The 15,107-nt window shown below is 41.7% G+C and overlaps 1 long non-coding RNA gene and 2 pseudogenes across 2 annotated transcripts, besides 1 other annotated feature; all 3 read left to right on the forward strand.

Annotated features, from left to right (window-relative positions):
- IL6STP1 (interleukin 6 signal transducer pseudogene 1) lies at positions 280 to 8,919 on the forward strand (annotated as a pseudogene).
- Positions 3,779 to 4,278: an enhancer, noted in NCBI's record as "H3K27ac hESC enhancer chr17:15689807-15690306 (GRCh37/hg19 assembly coordinates)". NCBI's record gives its function as "activates a minimal SCP1, AML or CMV promoter by ChIP-STARR-seq in naive H9 embryonic stem cells {active_cell/tissue: H9 hESC(naive)}" and the evidence as "EXISTENCE:reporter gene assay evidence [ECO:0000049][PMID:30033119]".
- Positions 4,136 to 6,991, forward strand: MEIS3P1 (Meis homeobox 3 pseudogene 1; annotated as a pseudogene). The gene has a single exon (NR_002211.1). The product of NR_002211.1 is annotated as a Meis homeobox 3 pseudogene 1 (transcript).
- On the forward strand, positions 9,089 to 11,853 carry LOC124903935 (uncharacterized). Its single transcript, XR_007065640.1, has 2 exons — positions 9,089 to 10,331; positions 11,224 to 11,853. It is a non-coding gene; the product is annotated as an uncharacterized LOC124903935 (long non-coding RNA).
- Positions 11,854 to 15,107: the final 3,254 nt, after the last annotated feature.

Genomic DNA, 15,107 nt, shown 5'->3' on the forward strand with positions numbered 1-15,107 from the left:
ACTCGGGAGGCTGCAGCAGGAGAATCGCTTGAACCCAGAAGGCAGAGGTTGCAGTGAGCCGAGATTGTGCCACTGCACTCCAGCCTGGGCAACAGAGTGCCTCCATCTCAAAAAAAAAAAAACCAATTTTATATATATATATATAAAATTAATGCTTTCTATTTCCACTTAAGAAGTGCTTCCCTTGCCCCGCCCCGCCGCGGGACTTGGGGCGGCGCTCTACTTCTGCGGAGAAGGATCGACGAGCTTTCCGGAGAAAGATCCGCGAGCTTTCCGGAGCCGGAGCCGGGGCGAGCAGCCAAAAGGCCCGCGGAGTCCCGCTGGGCCGCCCCGGAGCAGCTGAACCGGGGGCCGCACCTGCCAGGCCGACGGGTCTGGCCCAGACTGGCGCCGAGGGGTTCGAGGGGTTCGTGTGCTGTGGAGACGCAGAGGATCCAGGCGGTGCGGTCTGAGTGAAAGCCAATGGAAAAAGTGTGACATTTAGAAGCAGAAGACTTAGCTTCAAATCCCTACTCTTTCACTTACTAATTTTGTGATTTGGAAATATCTGCGCAAGATGTTGACGTTGCAGACTTGGCTAGTGCCAGCTTTATTTTCCTCACCACTGAATCTATAGGTGAACTTCTAGATCCATGTGGTTATATCAGTCCCGAATCTCCAGTTGTACAACTTCATTCTAATTTCACTGCAGTTTGTGTGCTAAAGGAAAAATGTATGGATTATTTTCATGTAAATGCTAATGACATTGTCTGGAAAACAAACCATTTTGCTATTCTTAAGGAGCAATATATTATCATAAACAGAACAGCATCCAGTGTCACCTTTACACATATAGCTTCATTAAATATTCAACTCCCTTGCAACATTCTTACATTCGGACAGCTTGAACAGAATGTTTATGGAATCACAATAATTTCAGGCTTGCCTCCAGAAAAACCTAAAAATTTGAGTTGCATTGTGAATGAGGGAAACAAAATGAGGTGTGAGTGGGATCGTGGAAGGGAAACACACTTGGAGACAAACTTCACTTTAAACTCTGAATGGGCAACACACAAGTTTGCTGATTGCAACCAAAATGTGACACCCCCACCTCATGCACCATTGATTATTCTACTGTGTATTTTGTCAACATTGAAGTCTGGGTAGAAGCAGAGAATGCCCTTGGGAAGGCTACATCAGATCATATCAATTTTGATGCTGTATATAAAGTGAAGCCTAATCTGCCACATAATTTATCAGTGATCAACTCAGAGGAACTGTCTAGTATCTTAAACTGTTTGCTTAGCATTCCTATTGACAACTTTTCTGGGAGTGCTGTTCTGCTTTAATAAGCGAGACCTAATTAAAAAACACATCTGGCCTAACGTTCCAGATCCTTCAAAGAGTCATATTGCCCAGTGGTCACCTCACACTCCTTCAAGGCACAATTTTAATGCAAAAGATCAAATGTATTCAGATGGCAATTTCACTGATGTAGGTGTTGTGGAAATAGAAGCAAATGACAAAAAGCCTTTTGCAGAAGATCTGAAATCATTAGACCTGTTCAAAAAGGAAAAAATTAATACTGAAGGACACGGCAGTGGTATTGGGGGGGTCTTTATGCATGTCATCTTCTAGGCCAAGCATTTCTAGCAGTGATGAAAATGAATCTTCACACAACACTTCGAACACTGTCCAGTATTCTGCTGTGGTACACAGTGGCTACAGACACCAAGTTCCATCAGTCCAGGTCTTCTCAAGATCCAAGTCCACCCAGCCCTTGTTAGATTCAGAGGAGAGGCCAAAAGATCTACAATTAGTAGATCATGCAGATGGCGGTGATGGCATTTTGCCCAGGCAACACTACTTCAAACAGAACTGCAGTCAGCATGAATCCAGTCCAGATATTTCACATTTTGAAAGGTCAAAGCAAGTTTCATCAGTCAATGAGGAAGATTTTGTTAGACTTAAACAACAGATTTCAGATCATATTTCACAATCCTGTGGATCTGGGCAAATGAAAATGTTTCAGAAAGTTTCTGCAGCAGATAGATACTTTTGGTCCAGGTACTGAGGGACTAGTAGAAAGATCTGAAACAGTTGGGATGGAGGCTGTGATTGATGAAGGAATGCCTAAAAGTTACCACAGACTGTACGGCAAGGCAGCTACATGCATCAGTGAAGGACTAGTAGTTCCTGCTACAACTTCAGCAGTACCTATAAAGTAAAGCTAAAATTATTTTATCTGTGAATTCAGATTTTAAAAAGTCTTCACTCTCTGAAGATGATCATTTGTCCTTAAGGACAAAAATGAACTGAAGTTTCACATGAGCTATTTCCATTCCAGAATATCTGGGATTCTACTTTAAGCACTACATAAACTGACTTTATCCTCAGATTAGCTGAATGATTTTGTGCTGTTTCAGGATGTTTGCACTGAAGAAAAACAGAAAGCTTATCTGAAATTTATAAAACTTTTTGTTTTGCTACATAGAAAACAGAAGGTATTTAAATAATAAGCAGTGATATGCTTAGCGAGCACAGCTATACTGATTTTGATTAGAATAGTCATCAAAGTAGCTTAGGGACAGTTAATATAAAAGATTAGAGGAGCAAGGTCTAGACCATCTACTTCTGCTAAAATAATTTAAAAAGAGGTCCATAGGCCCTAACTATATGAGCCCAGCTTTTGTAATCTGACAAAAAAAATGAGGAGCAGCCTCGTGTATATCAATGTACAAAATATTCCTTAGGTCCCTTCCATTGGTGGTGATGCTGCCAGTTATTACTGGAGAAAAGGAATTCTAGAGCTTTAACTTGGCAGATTAAAAGTACTCTTTTTTTTTTTTTTTTTGAGTCGGAGTCTTGCACTGTTGCCCAGGCTGGAGTGAAGTGGCAAGGTCTCTGCTCACTGCAAGCTCTGCCTCCCGGGTTCACACCATTCTCCTGCCTCAGCCTCCAGAGTAACTGGGACTACAGGCGCCCACCACCATGCCTGGCTAATGTTTTTGTATTTTTAGTAGAGACGGGGTTTCACAGTGTTAGCCAGGATGGTCTCGATTTCCTGACCTCGTGATCTGCCTCGGCCTCGGCCTCCCAAAGTGCTGGGATTACAGGCGTGAGCCCCTGCACCTGGCCTAAAAGTACTCATTTTTTATTCATCAATAATTAGTAATCTGACTCGTTTCAAAAATTTGTTTATTATTGACAACCTCTTTGAAGATCCATTTCACAAACTCAACAGAGTGCCACGATTAAGAGCTAGGGATCCCCCAAACTACCTCAAGCATCTAAAAAATTGCCATTTTTTAAAGGCTTAAATTGTAGTAGTAAAGGGGGAAAAAACCCATAAATCATCTAAAAAATTGCCATTTTTAAAGGCTTAAATTGTGTGTGTGTACACACACACACACACACACACACACACACACACACATCATTGACCTTTCTTAAGACTTCAGAGGGTGGAACTTCCGGATGTGACCACAGAGAGGAAGAGACCGGGAAGGCGGAGCGCGGCCGCCAGCACCCCCGAGCCGCCGCCGGACCCCCGCCGCCCCGGGCCGCCCCCCGCCCCCCGCGGTCCCAGGTCTGTCCGTCTGGGGACGGCTCGATTCCCCGCAGAGCCGGGGGAGGGACGGGGGCGCCCAGGGGAGGGGGCCTCGGGCGCCCCGCCCGCGCCTGCTGCCCCGTCCCGGCGGTAATGCGCTCCCGGCCGTGACCCCCGCTGGGGGCGGGGGCCGGGATCCATGCGCGGAGCCCCCACCCGGCCCGGCGCCTGCGGCTGACGGCGGCGGGGGTTGGGGGGCGCGCGTCTGGCCTCCTGCCCACCCCCTGGCGTCGACATCACGGGCCGTCGGGGGCTGCGCCCTACCCCGCGGCCAGGCTCTGGAGGGACCCTGGAGGTGCCGCCGGCCTCAGCCCATGGCCCAAAGGTACGATGAGCTGCCGCACTACCCAGGCATCGCGGATGGCCCCGCAGCCCTGGCTGGCTTCCCAGAGGCAGTGCCCGCGGCACCAGGGCCCTATGGCCCTCACCGGCCTCCCCAGCCCCTACCCCCAGGCTTGGACAGCGACGGCCTGAAGAGGGACAAGGATGAGATCTATGGACACCCGCTCTTCCCCGTCTTGGCCCTGGTCTTTGAGAAATGTGAACTGGCTACATGCTCTCCCCGTGATGGGGCCGGAGCTGGGCTGGGGACACCCCCGCGGCGGCGACGTCTGCTCCTCTGATTCCTTCAACGAGGACAACACTGCCTTCGCCAAGCAGGTTCGCTCTGAGAGGCCCTTCTTCTCCTCCAACCCAGAACTGGACAATCTGATGATCCAGGCAATCCAAGTGCTGCGGTTCCACCTGCTAGAGCTGGAGAAGGGAAAGATGCCCATCGACCTGGTCATCGAGGATCGGGATGGCGGCTGCAGGGAGGACTTCGAGGACTACCCAGCCTCCTGCCCCAGCCTCCCAGACCAGAATAATATATGGATTCGAGACCATGAGGATAGCGGGTCTGTACATTTGGGGACCCCAGGTCCATCCAGCGGGGGGCTGGCCTCCCAGAGTGGGGACAACTCCAGTGACCAAGGAGTCGGGCTGGACACCAGCGTGGCCTCTCCCAGTTCTGGTGGAGAAGATGAGGACTTGGACCAGGAGCCACGGCGAAACAAGAAGAGGGGGATCTTCCCCAAGGTGGCCACCAACATCATGCGAGCCTGGTTGTTCCAGCACCTCTCACACCCGTACCCCTCGGAGGAGCAGAAGAAACAGCTGGCGCAGGACACGGGGCTTACCATCCTGCAAGTCAACAACTGGTTCATTAATGCCCGGAGACGCATCGTGCAACCTATGATCGATCAATCCAACCGCACAGGGCAGGGTGCAGCCTTCAGCCCAGAGGGCCAGCCCATCGGGGGCTATACCGAGACAGAGCCACACGTGGCCTTCCGGGCTCCAGCATCAGTGGGGATGAGTTTGAACTCGGAAGGAGAATGGCATTATCTATAGAGGCTGATGCGGGAGAGACCCAGCCTCCGGCTGTGACCCCCAGCCTCACACCTGGCTCTGGTTCCCGCCTGGTCCTCTGGCTTCAGGATCCCACCTCCAAAGGCCTCTCCGCTCAACGCCTACCTCCCTAGGGCCCTGCTGGGACATGGGGGCCTGAGTGCCCACCCAAGGGGCTCTCAAGGACACCGGCAAGGCCTCCAGGCTCTGAGCCCCGCTTCTGCCTTCACCTCTGCCTGGGACCCGAGCTGGGCTCCTGGGCCTTGGTCCCCAGAAGATGGCAGCTAGGGCCTCGCCGCGAGGACAGAGAAGGGACAGGGTGGCTGGGCAGTCAGGGAAGGAGGGTCGCCCGGATCCGACATTTTGGAGAGATTCTTTCACCCTCCTGTCCCCCCCACCTCCCTTCTCTAATTTCTTCTTTTTTTAATGATAAAGTCTTAAAACACAGAAAAAAAAAAGACTTCAGAGAATTAGGTAGATGAAGCACTTTATACAGTATATATCTTCAGCTTAAATTTGTTTTGAGTATTTTTTTTATTTTTAAGTAGGCAAAGATTTAAAATTTTTTATTTTTAGTAAATGTTTGAAGCAAACTAAAAAGACGTGGGCAATATTTACCAAAACAAAACAGAACCCAAAAAATTGTACATCTTGATCTTAGCAAATATCCTTATTGTAGAGACACTTAATAAAGAGATGGTATTTTAATATCTGCAGTTCTGAGGTAGGGTGTAACTTAGTTCTACATTGTGATTTAGGAATTTTTAAACCTTTCTTCTTCAGGGGAGAAGTGACCCAGGCCTCGAGTTTAGTGCTAAAGCCACTAGTGTACTTATGCTGTCACCTAACCACCACATGCGACATGGAGGCAGAGGCTAAATATAGGGGCTTTCTTAAGAAAGTGAGAGGAAATTAGCAAGCATTATTAGTGTTTGACTACTGCTATCAAGTGAATTCAAAGGAAACAGGTTTTTATGCCATATTTAAGTTACAGAAACCAGGCATGCTTAGAATAGTTTCTAAGGTGACAGAGTGAGACTCCATCTCAAAAAAAAAAAAAAAAAAAAGAATAGTTTCTAGAGGTTATTGGAGAATAGAAAGCTAAGAAAACTTGGTATACATTTACAATTGAAATATAATTACACTTTTTACTCTCAGAATATTATTCAGATTAGACTTCCTGTTTATCTTTTATATTCTTGCATTGATATAATGCCTGATCCTTCAAAGTTCTTTCACATATTATATGATCTTCTTTATGAAAAAAAGTAGATGCTTTATTCTGATATATTCAGTTTCCCACTTTAGGCAAAAGTGGATTAATAGAATGATGAATTCAAAGTAGATGAGGAAAATCAGGCACAGAGAAGTAAAGGTAGGTACAGACCCAAATTCACACAAGATAATGACATCACCAGCGTTTAAGTTGATCATCAAAGGCTGGGCTGGATTTGTCTTGCTGTATGTGTCAGGAAATTTATACCTATTACATTTTCCATTTTCTCAAAATAAGTCACATGATTGTAATGTTTAGCTGCAACTTTTCTCCTAATAAATAGTGTCATGAAGAATGTTATAGTGCGAAGTTTGTACATTTCAGGGTCAGTTATACAATGTGAACTCTTTATCTACGGGAATGAGAATGGAGGATCATTGAAGGCCATGATATAAACAAATTTGCATGTTGAAGCCTGTATAAAACATGGTACAGTGAGTGAATGCCCCCATCCCCAAGAACACTTTATACATATTAAATGGATATATGATTACTGTGCAAAAATTCATTCTGGAAATGAACATATATTTGAGCACTAATATGTAATGTACATCTTCTGCCCTAAGGAGAAAATAAATCATAAAACTTGTTTTACATTCAAAATTACTTTCCCGAGCATGTCTTAGAGTAATCTACGTGTTGATGTATGTAAATTGTATTTTAGGTAGGCAAAGAAACAAGTCTGGTTATTTATGTAAAAACTAGTCTAATAAAGTGAGTGGCTTTATCACTTTGAATCTTTAGTGTCTAAAAGTGGTGTTTAAAGTAATACTAGCACATCAGAAAACCTTGTGTGGACAAAACTAGTTCACTCACTGCTTCTGCAACTGCAGTTCCTCCCCTTAGGTTATAAAAAAAAAGGACCCAAATGTTACATGTGTTGATATTATGACTTGTCAGTTACTGATGTCTGTGGTATCCTACCCTCGTCTCTGAAACGGATAATACTGAATAATTATTAGAAAACTACAAGACTTCACACTTTGTACCATTAAAACCTAAAATTTTAATCCTATCCTTTTTTATTACAGATCAATCAGCACTCAGGAACAGAGCAGCAAGGAAAAAAAGGAAATTTCATTCATATGTTCTGTGTTCATATCTCTTCAGTACCTAATTGTTCATTTAATTTCAGCCTTATTCCTTCATAAGGGGTTTTACCACATGAAGTCATCCGATGACCCTAGCTCTTATTGTGAAGTTGAAGATGACTGGAGTATACTTACAAATGTTACAACTTAAAAATGTTACAAAACATTTATTAAAGCTCATATTTAAAGTAGAGCATCCAGTTTGAGAAGTAGACATCAATTATTAAAGATGTCTTTTTTCTCCCCATTTAACTAGTTAAAACCATGATGTGTAAATGTAGAAGTAGAATAATCATATGGAATTCCCTAAAATATTTCTGTTTACTAACATATATTGACCAAGTACATCAAGCAGGAGAGCTCTTCCTTCATTCTGTTATAGTCCACATCATTCTAATTTTGCTCAGTTGTTATTAAAAGCATATTCCTAAACCATACACTTTTGTTTCAATAAAGTTTTATTTTGTTGGGATGAATAAAATATCAAAGTTATAAGCTACATGAGACAAAAGTTCAATTGTTCAAAAAATTTACTGGGACAGCTTTCTATTATAGGTATTGTTAAATTATATTGCTCTGATAAGATTACTTTCTTTAAAAAGTTTGTACTTTTCTGTAAATTGAAAGAATATGGAGTCATAAAATGGCAAGTGTTTTAGGGTTAGCGTAAAATTGGGCATTGTCATTGATTTCATAGATGATATAAACTAGCAGGCTTACAGCCTAATTCTTCTTTGGACTGGTCTTTGGCAGCAGTTCCTTTTCAGACTCAATAAACAGAATTCAGACAGATGTAAGTCAAAACAAAACTTTACAAAGCCAAGTGTATTATCTTTTGCATTAACCTATTTTTTCCATCATACATGCTACTAGTATGTGCATTAGCATGATATTCTCATATACATTGCATTAAAAATTAAAAGGTAGCAGCTCAGGGTGAGCTCTTCTGTCATTCATTTGTTCCTAAATTTTTAAGGGCTTTTTCTCAGTCAATATTTGTATAAACTGGGTAGTTTAACTTCATTACCCATTTCATTAAAGTTGATGGATTGTGATGAGATGCATTTAAGGCCAATAGTGACAGATTTTTTTTTAATCTCTTGAACACAAGCTTTGAATGATAACTACAGGTTTTAAGTGCTGTTAACATTAATACCATAATGTGATGTGTTAGAACCAAAGGGATATTTTAAAGGTAGATATCTGAAAATTCTCTAGTCTCAATGTATATATGTATTGAATATACTCTAAAAATAAATGTGCAATTTGCTAGTAGGACAATGCAGTGATTAGCATTAGGTATGTTTCTTCTTTTATATCCTAGCTATGTCCCACTTTCTTCTAAGTGCAATCCTTTCATGTTCACTTGTTGTTTTACCCCATCTACTCTAACTTCAGTTGGAAGCCTTGTCTAGAGTATAGTATGTGTTTTTACCTTTGCAGTGAATTGCATGTGCTAATTGTAACCACAGCTATTTTTATGTTGACATAACTCCAAGTGTTATATTAAATGTTCTATTTTATATTAGCTCTAATCCCTTAAGTAAATTTTAAGAAATAAATTCTTGTTCAAAAAAAAAAAAAAAAAAAGAAGTGCTTCCTTGTCCTAAGGTCATGACAACTTTCATGTAAGTTAACTTAAATATGGAAGCTTTATTGGCTTGCCTTTAACATTTAATTTAGATCTACAATGCCCATGGAACTAATTTTTTCTGAATATGTTTGGTTGAATGAAGGCTTTTTTTTTTTTTTTTTTTTTTTTGAGAAGGAGTCTCGCTCTGTCGTGCCAGGCTGGAGTGCAGTGGCGTGATCTTGGCTCACTCCAAGTTCCGCCTCCCAGGTTCACGCCATTCTCCTGCCTCAGCCTCCCGAGTAGCTGGGACTACAGGCGCCCGCCACCACGCCCGGCTAATTTTTTGTATTTTTAGTAGAGATGGGGTTTCACCGTGTTAGCCAGGATGGTCTTGATCTCCTGAACTCGTGATCCGCCCGCCTCAGCCTCCCAAAGTGCTGGGATTACAGGCATGAGCCACCGTGCCCAGCCGAAGGCTTATTTTTTTCCATATTGATATCCAGTTGTCTTATCACTTTTTAGTGAAAAGACCATCCTTTCTTGTGCAGTGCCACCTTAACTATAAATTAAGTGTTCATAAAATGGGTGTCTATTTCTGGGCCTTCTCTTCTTTGCCATTGATTTCTTTTTCTATTACTTACCAGTATTCTATTAATATCCAGTAGAGCAAATCTTTCAATCTTGTTTTTCTTCTTAAAGATTAAGTTTTTGGTTATTCTTGGTCTTTAGTGTTTCCATATAAATGTCATTTATTAAGTATTTTTGCAATTTGATTTCCAACTTAATTGCTCTGTAGTAAGAAAACATACTTTGTATGATTTCAGTCCTTTTAAATTTGAGAGGTTTTTAGTGTATCTCAACATGTGGTAAATTTTAATAAATATTCTGTGTCTTCTTGAAAAGGATATATCTCCAAAAAAAGTTTTAATTTGAAAGATGTTCTATATATAAGTAGAAAAATAAGAGGAAACTCAGATCACAAAATATAGAAATGTCTATGGGGCAAAGAAAAATGCCAGAAACTTACCAAACTGTCTTAAGTGCAGGCTTCATCGCTGATCCCTGGCATAATACTCCTTCGCACAGAACTCCATAAGTATGTGCTGATGTTTTTAGGTATCAAAGTCATGTGACTTAGCATTACTTGAGACAAAATATTTTTTTCTTTTGCCTTGGGTGTACCAGCTGTTGGCTAATAACTCCAAGAATAGGATGTTATTAAACTTTAGAAACATTTGCTTTCAGGATCTGCCAGATCATCTTTTGGAGATCAGAAGCTTGAACTTTCCAGTTCATCCCAGCCTGGATCCAGTTATGATGTATATAACCTGTTCTGTATGTATCAGCACATTTCACCTGATTTGAGTCTACGTTTTCCTCCCTGCTCAGAAGTGACGAGACTGTAAGGATCAGGTATGAAATTTTTTTATGCTTTTCCTCTTTGTGTTTCTCTTTAAGAAATGTAGAATTCGGGCCGGGCGCGGTGGCTCACGCCTGTAATCCCAGCACTTTGGGAGGCCGAGGTGGGTGGATCATGAGGTCAGGAGATCGAGACCATCCTGGCTAACACTGTGAAACCCCGTCTCTACTAAAAATACAAAAAATTAACCGGGCGTAGTGGCGGGCGCCTGTAGTCCCAGCTACTCGGGAGGATAAGGCAGGAGAATGGCGTGAACCCGGGAGGCGGAGCTTGCAGTGAGCCGAGATCAAGCCACTGCACTCCAGCCTGGGCGACAGAGCCAGACTCTGTCTCAAAAAAAAAAAGAAAAGAAATGTAGAATTCGAATCTAAGATCTGAGAATAAACAAATGATTCTTACTATTAAAGGCAATTTAAAAATAAGAAAAAAGCAAGCTTCCTAAATGTTGTGATAAATATTATGACTTCCCTGTAGTGTTATATCTAACATAAAAACTGAAAGGTTAATGAGTTATGTCTGTTTGTAGTTCTAAATTCCATTGTAGTTTTCCTTTTTTGAAAGAAGTTTTGGTTCAAGAGATCTTTTGTACAGCATAGGGACTATAATAGTTAATTATGACACATTCTTAAAAAGTGCCAAGAGTGGATATTAGGTGTTCTCAAATCGCTTTTTCTTATCACTCAAAAGTGGTAACTGTGCAGTAATACATTTGTAAATTAGCTAGATTTAATCATTCCACAATGTACACATACTTTAAAACATGTTGTACACGATGAATACATACAATAAAAAAGAAATTAGCTGCATGCCAGATACAAGAGAAAAAACATGAAAAAGAAAGAAATTCTGTTTTCAAATTATTTTGTGTTGTTGTTGTTGTTACAGGGTCTCACTTTGTCCCCCAGGCTGGAGTGCAGTGGCGTGATCTCACCTCACTGCAGCATCACCCTCCCAGGATCGAGGGATTCTCACACCTTGGGACCCCCACCCCCCAGCAGCTGGGACTACAGGCATGTGCCACAGGCACACGCCTGAGTAATTTTTTTGTATTTATTGTTGAGACAGGGTTTCACCATGTTACCCAGGTTGGGCTCGAAGTCCTGGGCTGAAGCAATTCCCCTGCCTTGGTCTCCCAAATTGCTGGGATTACAAGCGTGCACCACTGCACCCAGCCCAGAATATTTTGCATACATTTTGCCTGTCATTTGTCTATTTATAAATTCTACAACAGATATTCGTACATAGATATGTTGTACAAAACACAATATTTTTTCATTTCTTCTGTATTCAGTGAAAATGATAAATTTAGAAACTCATGATGTGATTAGAAATATAAACAAAGAAAATGCTTAAATGATTATCGAACTTTTTTAGTTTCATATTTGAGACTGTATGAATTATAGTCTACCATGTTTGCCTGTGATTCACAAAATTCTGTTTTTCAGGATATATATATATATATATATCAACCACTGAATTTAGTGTAAGGTACTGAAAATAAAGAAGAAATACTTATTTAAGGGCCTGCCTTGCGTTCACTACTGCGCTAGCATATACATTTAACATGCAAAGTTCCTTTCATCAGAGTTCCTACAGTTTAGAAGGGAAACTAAAATTACAGACGAGAAATATAGGAGCACATGGGATTCAGTATTGATTTTTTATTTTTTTATTTTTTGAGACAGTCTTGCTCTGTTGCCACGCTGGAGTGCAATGGCGCAATCTCGACTCACTGCAACCTCCGTCTCCGGGATTCAAGCGCTTCCCCTGCCTCAGCCTCCCGAGGAGTTGGGACTACAGGCCCGCACCACCACGCCCGGCTAATTTTTTGTGTTTTAGTAGAGACGGGGTTTCGCCATGTTGGCCCGGATGGTCTCACTCTCCTGACGTCGTCATCCACCCGCCTCGGCCTCTCAAAGTGCTAGGATTACAGGCGTGAGCACCGCGCCCGGCCTCAGTATTGATTTTTTTTTTTCATGTACAAATTCACATTTTACTCTCTCAAGTATTATCCCCATGATTGATACTCACATGTATTTTCCCTGAAGTACTTACTGTTCTCTGCATTGAAATAACAAGGTAACTACCCCTGGAGACCTCTCTAAATGTCCTAGAAGAGGTAAAGGGTACAATTAGAGTAATAGACCATCTATTGCCACTGACTAAGGTTGAAGTCAAAATTAGCACTCATCTTTATCTGCTCCATCCAGTTTGTTTCCAAACCTTCAAAGATTTTTTCTTTTTATTTATTTATTTTTATTTATTTATTTATTTTATTATACTTTAAGTTCTAGGGTACATGTGCACAATGTGCAGGTTTGTTACATATGTATACATGAGCCATGTTGGTGTGCTGCACCCATTAACTCATTTACATTAGGTATATCTCCTAATGCTATCCCTCCCCACTCCCCCACCCCACGACAGGTCCCGGTGTGTGGTGTTCCCCACCCTGTGTCCAAGTGTTCTCATTGTTCATTTCCCACCTATGAGTGAGAACATGTGGTGTTTGGTTTTCTGTCTTTGCGATAGTTTGCTCAGAATGATGGTTTCGAGCTTCATCCATGTCCCTACAAAGGACATGAACTCATCCTTTTTATGACTGCATAGTATTCCATGGTGTATATGTGCCACATTTTCTTAATCCAGTCTATCATTGATGGACATTTGGGTTGGTTCCAAGTCTTTGCTATTGTGAGTAGTGCCGCAATAAACATACGTGTGCATGTGTCTTTATAGCAGCATGATTTATAATCCTTTAGGTATATACCCCTTAAAGGGATGGCTTGGTCAAATGGTATTTCTAGTTCTAGATCCTTGAGGAATTGCCACACTGTCTTCCACAATGGTTGAACTAGTTTATAGTCCCACCAACAGTGTAAAAGTGTTTCTATTTCTCCATATCCCCTCCAGCACCTGTTGTTTCCTGACTTTTTAATGATCGCCACTCTAACTGGTGTGAGATGGTATCTCATTGTGGTTTTGATTTGCATTTCTCTGATGGCCAGTGATGATGAGCATTTTTTCATGTGTCTGTTGGCTGCATAAATGTCTTCTTTTGGGAAGTGTCTGTTCATATCCTTTGCCCACTTTTTGATGGGGTTGTTTGATTTTTTTCTTGTAAATTTGTTTAAGTTCTTTGTAGATTTTGGATATTAGCCCTTTGTCAGATGGGTAGATTGCAAAATTTTTCTCCCGTTCTGTAGTTTGCCTGTTCACTCTGACAGTAGTTTCTTTTGCTGTGCAGAAGCTCTTTAGTTTAATTAGAACCCATTTGTCAATTTTGGCTTTTGTTGCCATTGCTTTTGGTGTTTTAGACATGAGGTCCTTGGCCATGCCTATGTCCTGAATGGTATTGCCTAGGTTTTCTTCTAGGGTTGTTAGGGTTTTAGGTCTGACATTTAAGTCTTTAATCCATCTTGAATTAATTTTTGTATAAGGTGTAAGGAAGGGATCCAGTTTCAGCTTTCTACATATGGCCAGCCAGTTTTCCCAGCACCATTTTTAAATAGGGAATCCTTTCCCCATTTCTTGTTTTTGTCAGGTTTGTCAAAGATCAGATGGTTGTAGATGTGTGGTATTATTTCTGAGGGCTCTGTTCTTTCCATTGGTCTATATCTGTGTTTTGGTACCAGTACCATGCTGTTTTGGTTACTATAGTCTTGTAGTATAGTTTGAAGTCAGGTAGCTTGATGCCTCCGGCTTTGTTCTTTTGGCTTAGGATTGTCTTGGCAATGCAGGCCCTTTTTTGGTTCTATATGAACTTTAAAGTAGTTTTTTTCCAATTCTGTGAAGAAAGTCATTGGTAGCTTGATGGGGATGGCATTGAATCTATAAATTACCTTGGGCAGTATGGCCATTTTCACGATATTGATTCTTCCTATCCATGAGCACGGAATGTTCTTCCATTTGTTTATGTCCTCTTTTATTTCATTGAGCAGTGGTTCGTAGTTCTCCTTGAAGAGGTCCTTCACATCCCTTGTAAGTTGGATTCCTAGGTATTTTATTCTCTTTGAAGCAATTGTGAATGGGAGCTCACTCATGATTTGGCTCTCTGTTTGTCTACTATTGGTGTATAAGAATGCTTGTGATTTTTGCACATTGATTTTGTATCCCAAGACTGCTGAAGTTGCTTATCAGCTTAAGGAGATTTTGGGCTGAGACGATGGGGTTTTCTAAATATACAATCACATCACCTCCAAACAGGGACAATTTGACTTCCTCTTTTCCTAATTGAATACCCTTTATTTCTTTGTCCTGCCTGATTGCCCCGGCCAGAACCTCCAACACTATGTTGAATAGGAGTGGTGAGAGAGGGCATCCCTGTCTTGTGCCAGTTTTCAAAGGGAATGCTTCCAGTTTTTGCCCATTCGGTATGATATTGGCTGTGGGTTTGTCATAAATAGCTCTTATTATTTTGAGATACATCCCATCAATGCCTAATTTATTGAGTGTTTTTAGCATGAAGGGCTGTTGAATTTTGTCAAAGGCCTTTTCTGCATCTATTGAGATAATCATGTGGTTTTCGTCTTTGGTTCTGTTTATATGCTGGATTACGTTTATTGATTTGCGTATGTTGAACCAGCCTTGCATCCCAGGGATGAAGCCCACTTGATCATGGTGGATAAGCTTTTTGATGTGCTGCTGGATTCGGTTTGCCAGTATTTTAGTGAGGATTTTTGCGTCGATGTTCGTCAGGGATATTGGTCTAAAATTCTCTTTTTTTGTTGTGTCTCTGTCAGGCTTTGGTATCAGGATGATGCTGGCCT

The sequence above is a fragment of the Homo sapiens genome, chromosome 17 (assembly GCF_000001405.40).
Source record: "Homo sapiens chromosome 17, GRCh38.p14 Primary Assembly".
Classification (NCBI taxonomy): Eukaryota; Metazoa; Chordata; class Mammalia; order Primates; family Hominidae; genus Homo; species Homo sapiens.